We start from the raw sequence: 15,927 nt of genomic DNA, 5'->3' as shown, positions 1-15,927 counted from the left end.
AGACAAATCAATAAGATGGACCCTCACATCCAGGCAGCTGGGAGACCCCTCCCTAGTGCAGAGGGCACCACACATCCCTCAGCTCCTGAGTCCCTGGTCTGTGTGTGACTGCATCTCCCCTTCCTCCCCCGATGGCCTGTCACTTCCTCTTATCTTCATCCCCCCCGCGGGGCATGACTAGGGATGCTGGTCTTAAGGCAGTTGGCAAATCACTCAGACGTCATAACTAAGCCGGCTGTGCTATCACCGAGATGTGTCCCTGAGATGTCATTAAGCAGCCTGCTTCTTCTATACATACCTCTGGGGTGCTGTGGGTCTGAGGAGGGGCCACGCCCTGCTGCTGGTGGTTCCTCAGCCTGCCAAACAGAGTTATCTACTTCCATCCAAGCCCTCCATCAGAAGGTTCTGGAAGATGCCTTCCTGGCTACCCTTAGTCTTCTTCCAGGCAGCCTTCCTTGACTCCCCACCCCTGTCACCCTCCCTGGGATTTGTATCCTGGCCTGAACCTTGCCTCTTTGATCTCATCCACTTCCTTGCCTCAACTTTGAAAAGCCTTCAGAACCGGGCCCTCAAAAGGACACATCCTTGCACCTCTCCAAGCCTCAGTTTTCCCATCTCTAAAATGGGCATAGCAATGGGGTCTGGCCTACTCACTGAGTGCTGAATGATTCCAGCCACTTCATTTCTGTGATGGGCTTTGCATAGGCCAGGGACATCGTGAGAGCTCAGTGAATCCTACTGGCCAAGATACATAAAAAATAGTTAATATTGAGAAGTGGGGATCAGAGTGGGAGGGAAATTTACTTTTCCAAGGTATACCCTTTTGTAGTTACCAAAACTTTTTTTCTTTTTCTTTTTTTTTTTTTTGAGACAGGGTCTCTGTTGCCCACGCTGGAGTGTAGTGGTGCCATCTCGGTTCACTGCAACCTCCACCTCCTGGGCTCAACCGATCCTCCCACCCACCTCAGCCTCCTGAGTAGGTGGGACCACAGGTGCATGCCACCACACTTGGCTAATTAAAAAAAATTTTTTTCCCAGAGATGAGATCTCACTATAATGTCGAGGCTGGTCTTGAACTCCTGGGCTCAAGCAATCCTCCCACCTCGGCCTCCCAAAGTGCTGGGTGGGATTACAGGCATGAGCCACCGCACCTGGCCTCTAAACAGTTTTCAAAATTAAAAAAAATAAAATAAAAAAAAAGTGCTGTGCACAGTGGCTCACACCTGTAATCCCAGCACTTTGGGAGGCCGAGGCAGGCGGATCATGAGGTCAGGAGATCGAGACCATCCTGGCTAACACTGTGAAACCCCGTCTCTACTAAAAATACAAAAAATTAGTTGGGCGTGGTGGCATGCGCCTGGCCTGTAGTCCCAGCTACTTGGGAGGCTGAGGCAGGAGAACCACTTGAACCCAGGAGGCAGAGGTTGCAGTGAGCCGAGATCCCGCCACTGCACTCCAGCCTGGGTGACAGAGCAAGACTCCGTCTCAGAAAAAAAAAAAAAAAATTAGGCTGGACGCAGTGGCTTACGCCTGTAATCCCGGCACTTTGGGAGGCCGAGGTGGGCGGATCACTTGAGGTCAGGAGTTTGAGACCAGCCTGGACAACATAGTAAAACCCCGTCTCTACAAAAAAATACAAAAATTAGCCAGGCTTGGTAGCAGGCGCCTGTAATCCCAGCTACTCGAAAATTTTAGAAGTTACTTAAAAATTACCATCTCTGCACTGACTCTGAAACTTATCTAGGTATCTTCCACCCACATTTCACCTCAGGGATGACCCCCCCGCCATCCACCCTGCTACCTGGGTGGAGACCTGGGCCTCAACTGGGTATCTCTCCCACCCACTGCAGGGTCAGGGCCAGGCCCAAGACCTTAGTCACTCATTCTGACCTCTGTCACCCTCAGGGAAGTCAGTGTGCTCCCTTTAAACCCCCAGAACATGCAGTGTAGGTCCTTGAGGCCTGACACTGATGCTTGGAGTGGGCACTGAGAATCTCAGGATATGGAAATGGGGAGGCCCTTAGATGATCTCAGTGCAAAGGGAAGACCTAGGCCCAGGGAACAGAGTTCTGACTGTTCCCAAGGCCTGGAGCTGTTGTGTCCAATCACTGACTTGCAAGGGAGGAAAGAATCTTAGTGGAGGCGGGCTCTGTAGCTCATGCCTGTCATTTCAGTGCCTTCCTAGGAGGAGGCCAGAGGATAGCTTGAGGCCAGGAGCTCAAGACCAGCCTGGACAAGGCGGGCAAGGCATGGAGACTCTGTCTCTACAAAAAAATGAAAAATTAGCCAGGTGTGCTGGTGCACACCTGTAGTCCCAGCTACTAGGAAGGCTGAGGTGGGAGGATCTCTTGAACCCAGGAGTTCAAGGCTGCAGTCAACTAAGATCCCAGCACTGCATTCCAGCATGGGCAACACTGCACTCCAGCCTGGGCGACAGAGCAAGGCCTTGTCTGAAATAAAAAATATTAGTGGAGGTGGGTAAATAAAGAAACGGCTCAAGGCTGAGCCCTAACTCTGGTGACACAGTGATCAAATTTGGTGACAAAGACGGTCATCCTTCCCCAGCCTGAGCCCCGACCCTGGTCACAGAATGAGCCGTGATGCTGGCCATGCCTCGCCTCAGCTCTGAAGACTAGGCCAGACTGAAGTGTCCCATGCTCCAACCCCCAGATCTAAGCCTACCCCTGCCCACAGTAGAAACAAACCAAGAAATCAGATCCTCACCCCCAGCCCTCAGCCCTCAGCCCGCAGGTCTCCTGACTCCCTGTGATCCTCTCGCCCTGCTCTGCCCCCATAAAGGTTGGCCTTGAGGACAGAGATGGTAAGGGGCAGATTCAGGACGACAGGAGATTGGCGATGAGGGTGGAGAGGGGAAATAGGGACAGGAGTAGGACAGGCTGGGGGATGCGGATGAGTACCAGTGGGGGACATCGCTGGGGGTGTAGGGGAGGGGGGAGTTATGATGAGGAATGGAGGTGAAGCTGAGGATGGGGGACAGGGGATGAGGATACAATGTGGGGGACGTAGGAAGGCAGCCAGGCTAGCGGCGGGGCGGGGTCGCAGTCGGGGGCGAGTGTGACCGCCAGGGCAGAGTGGGGGTGCGCTGGGGACAGCGGCGCCTGCTCGGCCGGGCTGCGCCCAGCACCGCTCCCCCCGCGCGCTCCCCCTTCCGCTCCCCGGAAGCGCTGAGTCGTCCTGCCTTATCTGGGGGCCGCTATTTCGGGCTCGGCTCGGAGCGCGGCAACTATTTTTAGCGGAGCTGGGGTAAAAATGGACGCGGCGCCGCGCGGGTTCCCGAGGCCGTGCGCGCCCCCTCGCGACCACTGAGGGCCCCGGGGAGGAGCGCGCGCCTGAGTCACAGCCGTCCCCCTACCCCGAGGCACGGCGAGGGGGCCTCGATCGGGGGCGCCCTGGACACCCCGCGTGCACACCCGCCTCCCGGGCTCCCGGGCGCCGGCGAGCCGGCAGGGCGCAGAATCTTCCAGGGGCGTCGGGACGCGTCCGCCGGGGTTCAGAGCCGACGGCGGAGTTTTGGGCAGGGGCGCCGCGCCCCCTGGTGGCCCCCGCAGGGATCGCAGGCAGGAGCTGGGCCTGAGTCCGTCTCAGCTTATCTATTCATTTATTTTTATTATGATTATGATTATTTCTTTGAGATAGAATCTCGCTATATTGCCCCAGGATTGTCTAGAACTCCTGGGCTCAAGCGATCCTGCTACCTCGGCCTCCCAAAGTGCTGGGATTAAAGGCCTGAGCCACTGCACCCGGCCTATTATTATTAACTACTATTATTATTTTTTTAAATCTGACCTCGTCGTCCACACCCATTTTATAAATGAGGAAACTGAGGTCCGGAGAGGAACTGGGTTGAGGCATTGCAGCATGAACCGCAATGTACCATCATTTCAACTTGAGCTTGGACACTTCCTAAATGGGGAATTCACTGCCTCCCAGAAAACGAGGCGCTATTTGTTTTTTTGTTTGTTTGTTTTTGTTTTTTGAGACAGAGTCTCGCTCTGTCGCCCAGGCTGGAGTGCAGTGGTGCGATCTCAGCTCACTGCAACCTACACCTCCTGGGTGCAAGAAATTCTCCTGCCTTAGCCTCCCGAGTAGCTGGGATTACAGGCATGCGCCACAACGGCTGGCTAATTTTGTATTTTTAGTAGAGATGGGGTTGGGAGAGGAAGAACAGAGAGATGCGGTTAAAAAATACCAAACTACAGTCAGATAAGAGGAATAACTTCGGGCCGGGCGCGGTGGTTCACACCTGTAATCCCAGCACTTCGGGAGGCCGAGTGGGGCGGATCACTTGAGGTCGGGATTTCGAGACCAGCCTGACCAACACGGAGAAACCCCGTCTCTACTAAAAATACAAAATTAGCCGGGCGTGGTGGCGCATGCCTATAATCCCAGTTACTTGGGAGGCTGAGGCAGGAGAATTGCTGGACCCAGGGAGGCGGAGGTCACGCTGAGCCGAGATCCAGCCATTGCACTCCAGCCTGGGCAAAAAGAACAAAACTCTGTCTTAAAAAATAATAATAATAATAAATAAAAATAATTAGCCGGGCGTGATAGTGCACACCTGTAGTCCCAGCTACTCAGAAGGCTGAGGTAGGAGGATCACAGGAGCATGGGAGGCAAAGGTTGCAGTGAGCCGAGATTGTGCCACTGCACTCCAGCCTGGGCGACAGAGTGAGACTGTCTTAAAATAAATAAATAAACAAACAAACAAACACATAAAAAATAAAATTACACATATGGATCCAGCAATCCCACTTCTGGGTGTATATTGCAAATAAATTGACATCAAGATGTCAGGGCCAGGTGCGGTGACTCACGCCTATAAATCCAGCAGTTTGGGAGGCCGAAGCAGGAGGATGGCTTGAGCCCAGGAGTTGGAGACTAATCTGGGCAATGTAGTGAGATGCCATCTCTACAAAAAGCACAATAATAAAAATAAAAAAAATCAGATGAGAGGCCGGGCACAGTGGCTCACGCCTGTAATCCCAGCACTTTGGGAGACGGAGGCGGGTGGATCACGAGGTCAGGAGATCGACACCATCCTGGCTGACACGGTGAAATCCCATCTCTACTAAAAATACAAAAAAAATTTAGCTGGGCGTGGTCTCACACGCCTGTAGTCCCAGCTACTCGGGAGGCGGAGGCAGGAGAATCACTTGAACCCAGGAGGCAGAGGTTGCAGTGAGCCGAGATTGTGCCACTGCACTCCAGCCTGGGCAGCAGAGCGAGACTCCGTCTCAAAAAAAAAAAAAATCAGATGAGAACACGTAGTGACAAAAAATAAAAAATAATATTTACAAATTTAAAAAATTTAAACTCTATTTTAGCAACTTTGAAATACACAATACATTAGTATTAACTGTGGTTACCATGCTGTGCAATAGATCACTGAAATATATTTCTCCAGTCTCGCTGAAACTTTGCACCCTTTGATCAACATCTTCTCTTTTCCCAACCCTCTCCCACTTCCCTGGACTCTAGTAGCCACCTTTATACTGTTTCTATGAGCTCGACTTTTTAAGATTCCATATAAAAGTGGGATCATGTGGTGTTTGTCTTTCTGTGTCTGGTTTATTTCACTTAGAATAATGTCCTCCAGTTCCATCCATGTTGTCTTGAATGGCAGAATTTCCTCCCTTTTCAAGGCTGTATAGTATTCCATCGTGTGTATATGCAACATTTGCTTTATCCATTATGTCCCTTGATGGACACTTAGGTTGACTCCATATCTTGGCTATTGTGACCAGTGCTGCAATGAACTTGAGAGTGTAGATAACCCTTCGACATCCTGATTTCAATTCCTTTGGAAATATAACCAGAGGTATATGAGTCTGCTAGATCCATATGTACGATTTTATTTTTACTTATTATATATATATATACACACACACATATATATTTTCTTTTTCTTTTTTGAGATGAAGTCTTGCTCCTGTCGCCCAGGCCGAAGTGCAGTGGCGTGATCAAGGCTCACTGCAACCTCTGCCTCCTGGGTTCAAGCGATTCTCCTCCCTCAGCCTCCTGAGTAGCTGGGATTACGGGCGTGTGTCACAACGCCTGGCTAATTTTGTATTTTTAGTGGAGATGGGGTTTCACCATGTTGGTCAGGCTGGTCTCGAACTCCTGACCTCAGGTGATTCACCCACCTTGGCCTCCCAAAGTGCTGGGATTACACGCGTGAGCCACTATGCCCGGCCCTTATTTTATATTTTAAAGTCTCACTATATTGGAATCCACTATATATGGAGTCTCACTGTATGGCCCAGGTTGATCTCCAACTCTTGGTCTCACGGGGTCCTCCCACCTCAGCTTTCCAAGGAGCTGGGATTACAAGTGCAGGCTACCATGCCTGGCTGTCACACATGTCGTTTTAAATGTTTAGGCCAGGGTGGCTCACACTCGTAATCTCAGCCCTTTGGGAGGCCAAGGCGGGCAGATTGCAATGTCAAGGCCAGGAGTTTGAGATCAGCGTAGGCAATAGAGCAAGACCCCGCCCCCCCGCTTCATCTCTACAAAACTATTTTTGTTTGTTTGTTTGTCTGAGACGGAGTCTCACTGTCACCCAGGCTGGAGTGCAGTGGCGTGATCTCGGCTCACTGCAAGCTCCGCCTCCTGGGTTCACGCCATTCTCCTGCCTCAGCCTCACGAGTAGCTGGGTCTACAGGCGCCCGCCACCATGCCCGGCTAATTTTTTGTATTTTTAGTAGAGACAGGGTTTCACCATGTTGACCAGGATAGTCTCGATCTCTTGACCTCGTGATCCGCCCGCCTCGGCCTCCCAAAGTGCTGGGATTACAGGCGTGAGCCACGGCGCCCGGCCGAATTTCTCTTGTTTTAAGTCACTGAATTGGGGATAATTTGTTATAGTAGCCGTTAAGAAACTAATGCAATCTGTTTGAGCTTCTGTCCCCTCCACGCTAACGGCAGAGTTTCTGAGGCTTTTAGAGAACATCTTTTCCAACCCTTCCACATAGGGAAGGAAACTGAGGCTCAGAGAGAGGATGGAGACTGAAGGAGACCTCAGGCTTCCCGCTCTTCATCCAGGCTCCGTGGGTCACTGTGGCAATTTACAGATATTTTTCCCGTTTTAAAAAAAATAGGCTGGGCACGGTGGCTCATGTCTGTAATCTCAGCACTTTGGGAGGATGAGGTGGGCAGATCAACTGAGGTCAGGAGTTCAAGACCAACCTGGCCACCATGGTGAAACCCCGTCTCTACTAAAAATACAAAAAATATTAGCCGGGCATGGTGGTACATGTCTGTACTCCCGGCTACTTGGGAGGCTGAGACTTGAGAGAATCGCTTGAATCCGGGAGGCAGAGGTTGCAGTGAGCCAAGATTGCGCCACTGCTCTCCACCCTGGGTGACAGAGTGAGACTCCATCTAAAAAAAAAAGTACAGAATGTGGACTGAACATGGAGGCTCACACCTGTAATCCCAACACTTTGGGAGTCCAAGGCAGGAGGATCCCTTGAGGCCAGCAGTTTGAGATCAGCAGCCTGGGCAACATAGCGAGACCCCATCTCTACACAAAAATAGCCAGCTCTGGCGGTGCACACCTATAGTCCCAGCTACTTGTGAGGCTGAGGTAGGAGGTTTGCTTGAGCCTAGGAGTTTGAGGCTGCAGTGAGCTGTGATCACCACACTGCACTCCAACCTGCGTAACAGAATAAAGGTCTCAAAACAAAAACAAAAAGGCCAGAATGTTTATTGAGTTTTCTTTTAAGGCTGAGACAGAGCACAAGGTTTGGTTGGAGTCCTAGTTTGTTTGTTTACCTGCTATGTGGCCTTGGATAAGAGTCTACCTTCCCTGTGCCTCAGTTTCTCCCTCTGTAAAATGGGCATGGTGAGATAAGTCATCTCAGAGGGTTGTAGTGTGGAGGGCTGCTGTGAGAATCAATGTTACTGTGCGGCATAGTCCTGGAAGTGTTTGAAATGCTGTAAAATGGGCCTGGCACAGTGGCTCATGCCTGTAATCCCAGCACTTTGGGAGGCCAAGGTGGATGGATCATGAAGTCAGGAGTCTGAGACCAGCCTGGCCAACATGGGGAAACCCCGTCTCTACTAAAAATACAAAAATTTGGCCAGGCACCATGGCTCATGCCTGTAATTGCAGCACTTTGGGAGGCTGAAGCAGGTGGATCACCTGAGGTCAGGAGTTTGAGACCAGCCCGACCAACGTGGAAAAACCCCATCTCTACTAAAAAAAAAAATACAAAAAATTAGCCGGGCGTGGTGGTGCATGCCTGTAATCCCAGCTACTCAGGAGGCTGAGACAGCAGAATCGCTTGAACCCAGGAGGCAGAGGTTGCAGTGAGCCAAGATCGCACTATTGCACTCCAGCCTGGGCAACAAGAGCGAAACTCTGTCTCAAAAAAAACAATAAAAATAAAAATAAAAAAATTTTTAAAAAAGGCCGGGTGTGGCAATGTTCGCCTGTAGTCCCAGCTGCTCGGGAGGCTGAGGCAGGAGAATTGCTTGAACCCGGGAGGCGAAGGTTGCAGTGAGCTGAGGTCGTACCACTGCACTCCAGCCTGGGTGACAGAGCAAGACTCAGTCTCGGAAAACAAAAGCAAAAACAAAAAAATGCTGTAAGACAAGAAAAATAAATGAGATGCAACGATTGGAAGGCAAGAGAGAAAACTGCCAGATAGATTCTCTTTTCTTTTTTTTGAGATAGGGCTTTACTCAGTTGCCCAGGCTGGAGTGCATTGTCATGATCATGGCCCTCTGCAGCCTTGACATTTTTGGGCTCAAGTGATCCTCCCACCTTAGCCTCCCGAGTACGTGGGACTACAGGCACATGCCACCAAGCCATGCGATTTTTTTTTTTTTTGTATTTTTTGGAGAGACACGGTGTTTCACCATGTTGCCCAGGCTGGTCTCAAACTCCTGGGCTCAAGCGATCTGCCAGCCTTAGCTTCCCAAAGTGCTGGGATTACAGGTGTGAGCCAGGGCACATGGACAGGTCTCTTCTTCTTCTTCCTCTTTTTTTTTTTTTTTTTTTTTGTGTGTGTGTGTGTGTGAGACATTCTTGCTGTTGGCCAGGCTGGAGTGCAGTGGCACAATCTCGGCTCACTGCAACCTCTGCCTCTCGGGTTCAAGTGATTCTCCTGCCTCAGCCTCCTCCCGAGTAGCTGGGACTACAGGCGCATGCCACCATGCCTGACTAATTTTTGTGTGCGTGTATTTTTAGTAGAGACGGGGTTTCACCATGTTAGCCAGGATGGTCTCGAACTCCTGACCTCACGTGATCCACCCACCTTGGCCTCCCAAAGTGCTGGGATTACAGGTGTGAGCCACTGTGCCCAGCCAGGTCTCTCCTTAAATGCTCCTTTGACAGAGAAACCTCCGCTACCCTCCCATCCACTCGTCCTCTCCTTCAAAGTTAAAATGATGTTCCACATTCTTGTCCTTCATGACACTAATCAGGTTTGTATGATTGTTAGTTCATTGATTCTTTTTTTTTTTTTTTTAAAGACAGAGTCTTGCTCTGTCACCCAGGCTGGTGTGCAGTGGTACAATTTCGGCTCACTGCAACCTCTGTCTCCCGGGTTCAAGCAATTCTCTGGCCTCAGCGTCCTAAGTAGCTGGGATTACATCCGTGCACCACCATGCCTGGCTAATTTGTTTGTTTTTGAGATGGACTCTCACTCTGTTACCCAGGCTGGAGTACAATGGCGCAATCTCGGCTCACTGCAACCTCCACCTCCCAGGTTCAAGCGATTCTCGTGCCTTGGCCTCCCAAGTAGCTGGGATTCCAGGCACATGCCACCACGCCTGGCTAATTTTTGTATTTTTAGTAGAGACGGGGTTTCACCATGTTGCCCAGGCTGGTCTTGAACTCCTGACCTCTGGTGATCCACCTGCCTTGGTCTCCCAAAGTGCTGGGATTACAGGCATGAGGCATTGTGCCCGGCTTAATTTTTGTAATTTTAGTAGAGACAGGGTTTCACCACGTTGCCCAGGCCGGTCTCAAACTCCTGACCTCAAGTGATCTGCCTGCCTTGTTCTCCCAAAGTGCTGGGATTACAGGTGTGAGCCACCGCACCCGGCCTAATCCATTTATTTATTTATTTATTTTGAGACAGAGTTTCATTCTTGTTGCCCAGGCTGGAGTGCAGTGGCGCGATCTCGGCTCACCGCAAACTCCGCCTCCCAGGTTCAAGCGATTCTCCTGCCTCAGCCTCCCGAGTAGGTGGGATTAGAGGCATGTGCCACCATGCCCGGCTAATTTTGTATTTTTAGTAGAGACAGGGTTTATCCATGTTGGTCAGGTCATGTTGGTCAGGCTGGTCTCGAACTCCCAACCTCACGTGATCCGCCCACCTCGGCCTCCCAAAGTGCTGGGAATACAGGCGTGAGCCACTCCACCTGGCCCCCTTACACTCCTAATTATTGAAGGCCTCTGCCTGGGCAACATAGCAAGACCCCGTCTCTACAAAAATAAATAAAAGCAGCCAGGAGTGGTGGCATGCACCTGTAGTCCTAGCTATTTGGGAGGCTGAGGTGGGAGGACTGCTTTAGCCCAGTTCAAAGCGTGCAGTGAGTTATGACTGCACCATTGAACTCCAGCCTGGGCAACAGAGTGAAACCCTGTCTAAAATTTAAAAAATGTATTGAGGACCCCAAAGAGTTTTTGTTGATGTGTATGATTTCTATCAATATTTACTGTAATGGAAATCAAAACTGAGAAATTTTAGAAATATTTGTTGATTCATTTAAAAGTAGCTGGGTGCAGTGGTGTAAACCTGTAATCCTAGCTACTTGGGAGGCTGGGGTGGAAGTATCGCTTGAGTTTGAGACCAGCCTGGGCAGCGCAACAAGACCCCCATCTCTAAAAATAACTAATAATAATAATAATAATAATAATAATAATAAATTAATTTTGTGTTGGCCAGGCGTGGTGGCTCATGCCTGTAATCCCAGCACTTTGGGAGGCCAAGGCGGGTGGATCATGAGGTCAGGAGATCGAGAGCAGCCTGGCTAACATGGTGAAACACCGTCACTACTAAAATATGAAAAATTAGCCCGGTGTGGCGGCACATGCCTGTAGTCCCAGCTACTCGGGAGGCTGAGGCAGGAGAATTGCTTGAACCCGGGAGGCGGAGGTTGCAGCGAGCCAAGATTGCGCCATTGCACTCCAGGCTGGGCGACAGAGCGAGATTCCATCTCAAAAAAATAAAAAAATAAAAAATTAATTGAATGTTAATGTAAGTTATATCTTTTACATGAAAATAACCATGTTTTCCAAAATAAAAAAAAATTTTTTTGAGGCAGGGTCTCAGTCTGTTGTCCAGGCTGGGGTGCCAGGGGTATAATTAAGACTCACTGCAGCCTCCACCTGCTAGGCTCAAGTGATCCTCCCACCTCAACCTCCCAAGCAGCTGAGAACGTAGGCACGCGCCACCAAGCACAGCTCATTTTAACATTTTTTGTAGAGATAGGGGTCTTCCTAAGTTGCCCAGGCTGGTTTTTTTTTTTTTTGAGATGGAGTTTCACTCTTGTTGCTCAGGCTGGAGTGCAATGGCATGATCTTGGCTCATTGCAGCCTCCACCTCCTGGGTTCAAGTGATTCTCCTGCCTTAGCCTCCCAAGTAGCTGGGATTACAGGCGTGTGCCACCACGCCCAGCTAATTTTTGTATTTTTAGTAGAGATGGGTTTCTCCGTGTTGGTCAGGCTGGTCTTGAATTCCTGACCTCAGGTGATCCACCGCCTCAGTCTCCCAAAGTGCTGGGATTACAGGCATGAGCCACTGCTCCCGGCCCTCCAGGCTGGTCTTGAACTCCTGGGCTTAAGCCATTCTCCCACCTTGACCTCCCAAAGTCCTGGAATTACAGGGATGTACCACCATGCACAGCCTGAAACAAAAACTTAGTGAGAGGAAGGGCATTGTTTTAATTTTTGCAAATCACTTTCACGTCAGGCTTAACAGAAGACAGCTGGGTCCTCACGTGTGTGTCTGCATTTGGTCTGTTGCAATATCATGGAAACTGCACTGGCTGATATGGTGAAACCCCGTTTCTACTAAAAATACAAAAAAATTAGCCGGGCATGGTGGTGCATGACTATAGTCTCAGCTACTTGGGAGGCTGAGGCGGGAGAATCGCTTGAACACGGGAGGTGGAGGTTGCAGTAAGCCAAGATCGTGCCACTGCACTCCAGCCTGGGGAAGGCTGAGACCCCACCCCCCAACTAAGTATTATTATTATGGTGTATCATATATTATGTCAATATTATTATGGTAATTTTTTTTTGAGACGAGGTCTTGCTCTGTTGCCCAGGCTGGAGTGCAGTGGCCCAATCTCAGCTCACTGCAAACTTCATCTCCCAATTCTCCCACCTCGGCCTCCCAAGTAGCTGGAATCACAGGCACCCACCACCATGCCCTGCTAATTTTTTGTATTTTTAGTAGAGTTGGGGTTTTGCCATGTTTGCCAGGCTGGTCTCAAACTCCTGACCTCACGTGATCCGCCTGATGCCTCAGCCTCCCAAAGTGCTGGGATTACAGGCATGAGCCACCGCGCCCCGCTTATGATAATAATTTTGTATTTGTAGACCCCCAAAGGGGTGCTGGGGAACCCCCTAAGGTTCTTTGGGCTGCAGGCTGAGACTCACTCCCTAGCTTTTGGTTCCACAGGACCCAGATGTATGTATGCTGGAAACCGAACACCTTTGGAGCCAAGGTGACCTAGGTTTAAGAGAAAGCTCTGAGTGCAAGCAGTGAGATCCAGTACTTTTAGCCCCTTTGGGCCTGGTGTCTTCATCTCTAACATAGGGATGGCGGTGATAATAATAATAAAAGTACATCCCTGCAGGGCTGCAGCGAGGCCCACAGGAGATAAGGCTCAGAATCATGCGTGCCGGTCACAGAGCATGCAATCAACATTTGCTATTATAACGGGAAATGTCATTTTATTTTATCACCAGCACCTTTTATTCATGCAGTTAATTTATCCCAAGGCCTGTCCTGTGCTGGGCAGCGCTGGGGACAAGGCGATGACTGAGATGGCCTTGACCCTGCCCTTATGGGGCTCCCAGTTCAGTGGGTCACGGAGTTTTTATTTGAGGAATTGCTCCGGCTGGACGCGGTGGCTCATGCCTGTAATCCCATCACTTTGGGAGGCCGAGGCGGGTGGATCACCTGAGGTCAGGAGTTCGAAACCAGCCTGGCCAACATGGTGAAACCCCATCTCTACTAAAAATAAAAAATTAGCTGGGTGTGGTGGCATGCGCCTGTAGTCCCAGCTACTCAGGAGGCTGAGGCAGGAGAATCACTTGAACCTGGGAGGCGGAAGTTGCAGTGAATCGTGATCATGCCACTGCACTACAGCCTGGGTGACAGAGCGAGACTCTGTCTCAAATAATAATAATGATAATAATAAAAATAAAGGAATTGCCCTGGGCACCAGGTCCTGGAGGTACATGAGTTCTCAAGGCTGAGAAGGCAAGGAAGAACATTCTAGGGAATGGGAACAGTATGCAAGAAATCGTGACAAGTGGAGAATGGCATGTGCTCTGGAATGGCAACTACCCAGGGTCCCTGAGTCCATTCCTTTGCCTCCAGAACATCCCAGTTCTCTTGCTGGTGAGAAACAAGTGTGTATATCTGGTTCACCTCCCCTCTTTCCGCCTTTCTCATTTTGTATAAATAGGTCCTCCATTCTGTCTTTATTTTTCTTTCCTTCTTTCTTTCTTTTTTTGAGATGGAGTTTCGCTGTTTTTGCCCAGACTGGAGTGCAGTGGCGCGATCTTGGCTCACTACAACCTCTGTCTCCCAGGTTCAAGCGATTCTCCTGCCTCAGCCTCCCGAGTAGCTGGGATTATAGGCATGAGCCACCACGCCTGGCTAATTTTGTGTTTTTAGTAGAGATGAGGTTTCATCATGCTGGCCAGGCTGGTCTCAATCTCCTGACCTCAGGTGATCTGCCCTCCTCGGCTTCTCAAAGTGCTGAGATTACAGGCGGGAGCCACCGCGCCCGGCCCAGTTCTGGGGTTTTTTGTGTGTGTGGAAGTCCCACTTCTGATCCAACCTCAGTCTCTCATGCTGCAGATCTTTCCTTTGCTGTACATCCATCCACAGCCTCTCCAGCGGAGACTTGGGATGTCCCACCAAAAAAGGTGCCCGGGAGGACGCGGAGTAGGGGCTAGGCGCCTCCACTGCCCCCCATCCGGGGGCCTCCGCTTGGGGCCGGGTGAGTCAGCCCCCGGCGGCTCCCGCGTCATCCCGGCCGCTCCGCTCCGCGCTATTTCGGGCTCCGGGCGCTATAAATAGAGGCTCGCCGAGCCGAGCCGCCCCCCTCCACTCGGGCCCCCCTGCGTCCCCGGCCCCGCCGCGATCGCCGGGCCGCGCGTCACCGCGGCTAAGTTTAGAGGCGGGCGGGGACGCCAGCCTGGTCACTGCGCCCCCCGGCGGTGCCCGCTTCCAGAGCCTTCGGCCGGGCTGCTCTCCGCCCCCCGTTCAGGTCCCCTTTGGCGGAATTGTCGGTGAGGGTCCCGTCCTTACAGTCTCCGTCCCCACCCCACCCGTTCCGGGGCGAACAAAGGGCTCGAAGTTGAGAGGAGGGGAAGGTTTGGGATGGGAGCAGGGGCCGTAGCTGGGGAGTGGCCCAAACTGGAGTTGCGGCTGAATTCTGGAACTTGGGGCGTTTGGAAGAAAGAGGCGGAATCGGAGCTTGGATACGGCTGGGGGATTCGAACGCGCAACTCTGGGAGCCGGGGAGATTCGAATCCGGGATTCCAAAGTTTAGTTTTGAAACAGCTTAGGCTGGGAGCAGTGGCTCACTACAGTAATCCCGACACTTTGGGAGGGCGAGAAGGGAGGATCGCTTGAGCCCAGGAGTTCGAGACCAGCCTGGGCTATAGTGAGACCCCACCCCCCCACCCCCACGCCTCTACAAAAAAAATACAAAAGTTGGCCAGGCGTGGTGGCGCGCGCCTGTGGTCCAGCTACTCGGTAAGCTGATGTGGGAGGATCATCTGAGCCCGGGAGGTTGAGGCTGCAGTGAGGTGTGATCGCACCACCGCACTCTAGTCTGGGTGACAGAGAGAGACTCCGTCTCAAAAAAAAAAAAAAAAAAGAAAGAAAGAAAGAAAAAGAAAAAAAGAAAAGAAACTGAGGGTAGAAATCCAACATCCAACTTGCCAACTTGGAAATAACGTAGAACCCAGGGCAATTTTTTCCCCTCGCTCTTAACTAACGTTAACCGATTCAGAATTCCACTGATCGCAGGCGGCGGGCCCTTTACCGCACTTCTGCTTCAAGGAAATGAATCGGGAGCGGGGAATGGGCCGCCTTCTAGGGGGTCCTGCCCCCGCTGGGTTCTGGCGGAGCAGAGAGGCCCCGGCTCCCCAACACTTCCAATCCTCTTGTGGTGCACCATCGCCCCCTTGCAGAAAACGCAGGAGTTGCAGGGTTAAGTCTGGCAATTCCATTCCCCAAGGGGATAACTGAGTCACAAGCCCTTCTACTTGGGATGACCTACTTCTAGAATCGCTGTATGGTCTTGGATACAGAGGCATATTTCATTTTTTCTTTTTTTCGTTTTTTGAGACGGAGTCTCGCTCTGTCGCCCAGGCTAGAGTGCAGTGGTGTAATCTCGGCTCACTGCAACCTCCGCCTCCTGGGTTCAAGCAATTCTCCGTCTCAGCCTCCCGAGTAGCTGGGATTACAGGCGTCCGCCACCACGCCCGGCTAATTTTTTTTTTGTATTTTTTAGTAGAGACAAGGTTTCATCATCTTGGCCAGGCTGGTTTTGAACTCCTGACCTCGTGATCCACCTTCCATCGGCCTCCCAAAGTGCCGAGATTACAGGCGTGAGCCACTGTGCCCGGCCTCCTGGGGGAAAATTATACCTAGTGATGAGACTATTAGACTGATTCTCCTTCCTTCCTACTAGGCGTGAGCC

At 51.2% G+C, this 15,927-nt stretch overlaps 1 protein-coding gene and 1 non-coding gene across 5 annotated transcripts in view, besides 6 other annotated features; one reads left to right on the top strand and one right to left on the bottom strand.

Annotated features, from left to right (window-relative positions):
- The window catches only part of ERCC1 (ERCC excision repair 1, endonuclease non-catalytic subunit), a 44,214-nt gene that overhangs the window by 8,365 nt on the left and 19,922 nt on the right, over nucleotides 1-15,927 (top strand). The window lies entirely within an intron of this gene.
- Nucleotides 2,791-3,290: an enhancer, noted in NCBI's record as "H3K27ac hESC enhancer chr19:45943151-45943650 (GRCh37/hg19 assembly coordinates)". NCBI's record gives its function as "activates a minimal SCP1, AML or CMV promoter by ChIP-STARR-seq in naive H9 embryonic stem cells {active_cell/tissue: H9 hESC(naive)}" and the evidence as "EXISTENCE:reporter gene assay evidence [ECO:0000049][PMID:30033119]".
- Nucleotides 2,791-3,642: a biological region, named in NCBI's record as "H3K27ac hESC enhancer GRCh37_chr19:45943151-45943650".
- Nucleotides 2,953-3,132: a silencer, noted in NCBI's record as "silent region_10767". NCBI's record gives its function as "represses an Ori minimal core promoter by ATAC-STARR-seq in GM12878 lymphoblastoid cells {active_cell/tissue: GM12878}" and the evidence as "EXISTENCE:reporter gene assay evidence [ECO:0000049][PMID:35858748]".
- Nucleotides 3,143-3,642: a silencer, noted in NCBI's record as "silent region_10766". NCBI's record gives its function as "represses an Ori minimal core promoter by ATAC-STARR-seq in GM12878 lymphoblastoid cells {active_cell/tissue: GM12878}" and the evidence as "EXISTENCE:reporter gene assay evidence [ECO:0000049][PMID:35858748]".
- MIR6088 (microRNA 6088) lies at nucleotides 6,479-6,529 on the bottom strand. Its single transcript, NR_106736.1, has one exon. It is a non-coding gene; the product is annotated as a microRNA 6088 (primary transcript).
- Nucleotides 11,899-12,058: a silencer, noted in NCBI's record as "silent region_10765". NCBI's record gives its function as "represses an Ori minimal core promoter by ATAC-STARR-seq in GM12878 lymphoblastoid cells {active_cell/tissue: GM12878}" and the evidence as "EXISTENCE:reporter gene assay evidence [ECO:0000049][PMID:35858748]".
- Nucleotides 14,399-14,578: a silencer, noted in NCBI's record as "silent region_10764". NCBI's record gives its function as "represses an Ori minimal core promoter by ATAC-STARR-seq in GM12878 lymphoblastoid cells {active_cell/tissue: GM12878}" and the evidence as "EXISTENCE:reporter gene assay evidence [ECO:0000049][PMID:35858748]".

The sequence above is a fragment of the Homo sapiens genome, chromosome 19 (genome assembly GCF_000001405.40).
Source record: "Homo sapiens chromosome 19, GRCh38.p14 Primary Assembly".
In the NCBI taxonomy this organism is placed as follows: domain Eukaryota; kingdom Metazoa; phylum Chordata; class Mammalia; order Primates; family Hominidae; genus Homo; species Homo sapiens.
Note: the sequence above shows the minus strand (reverse complement) of the source record. Positions and strands in the feature narration are given on the sequence as shown.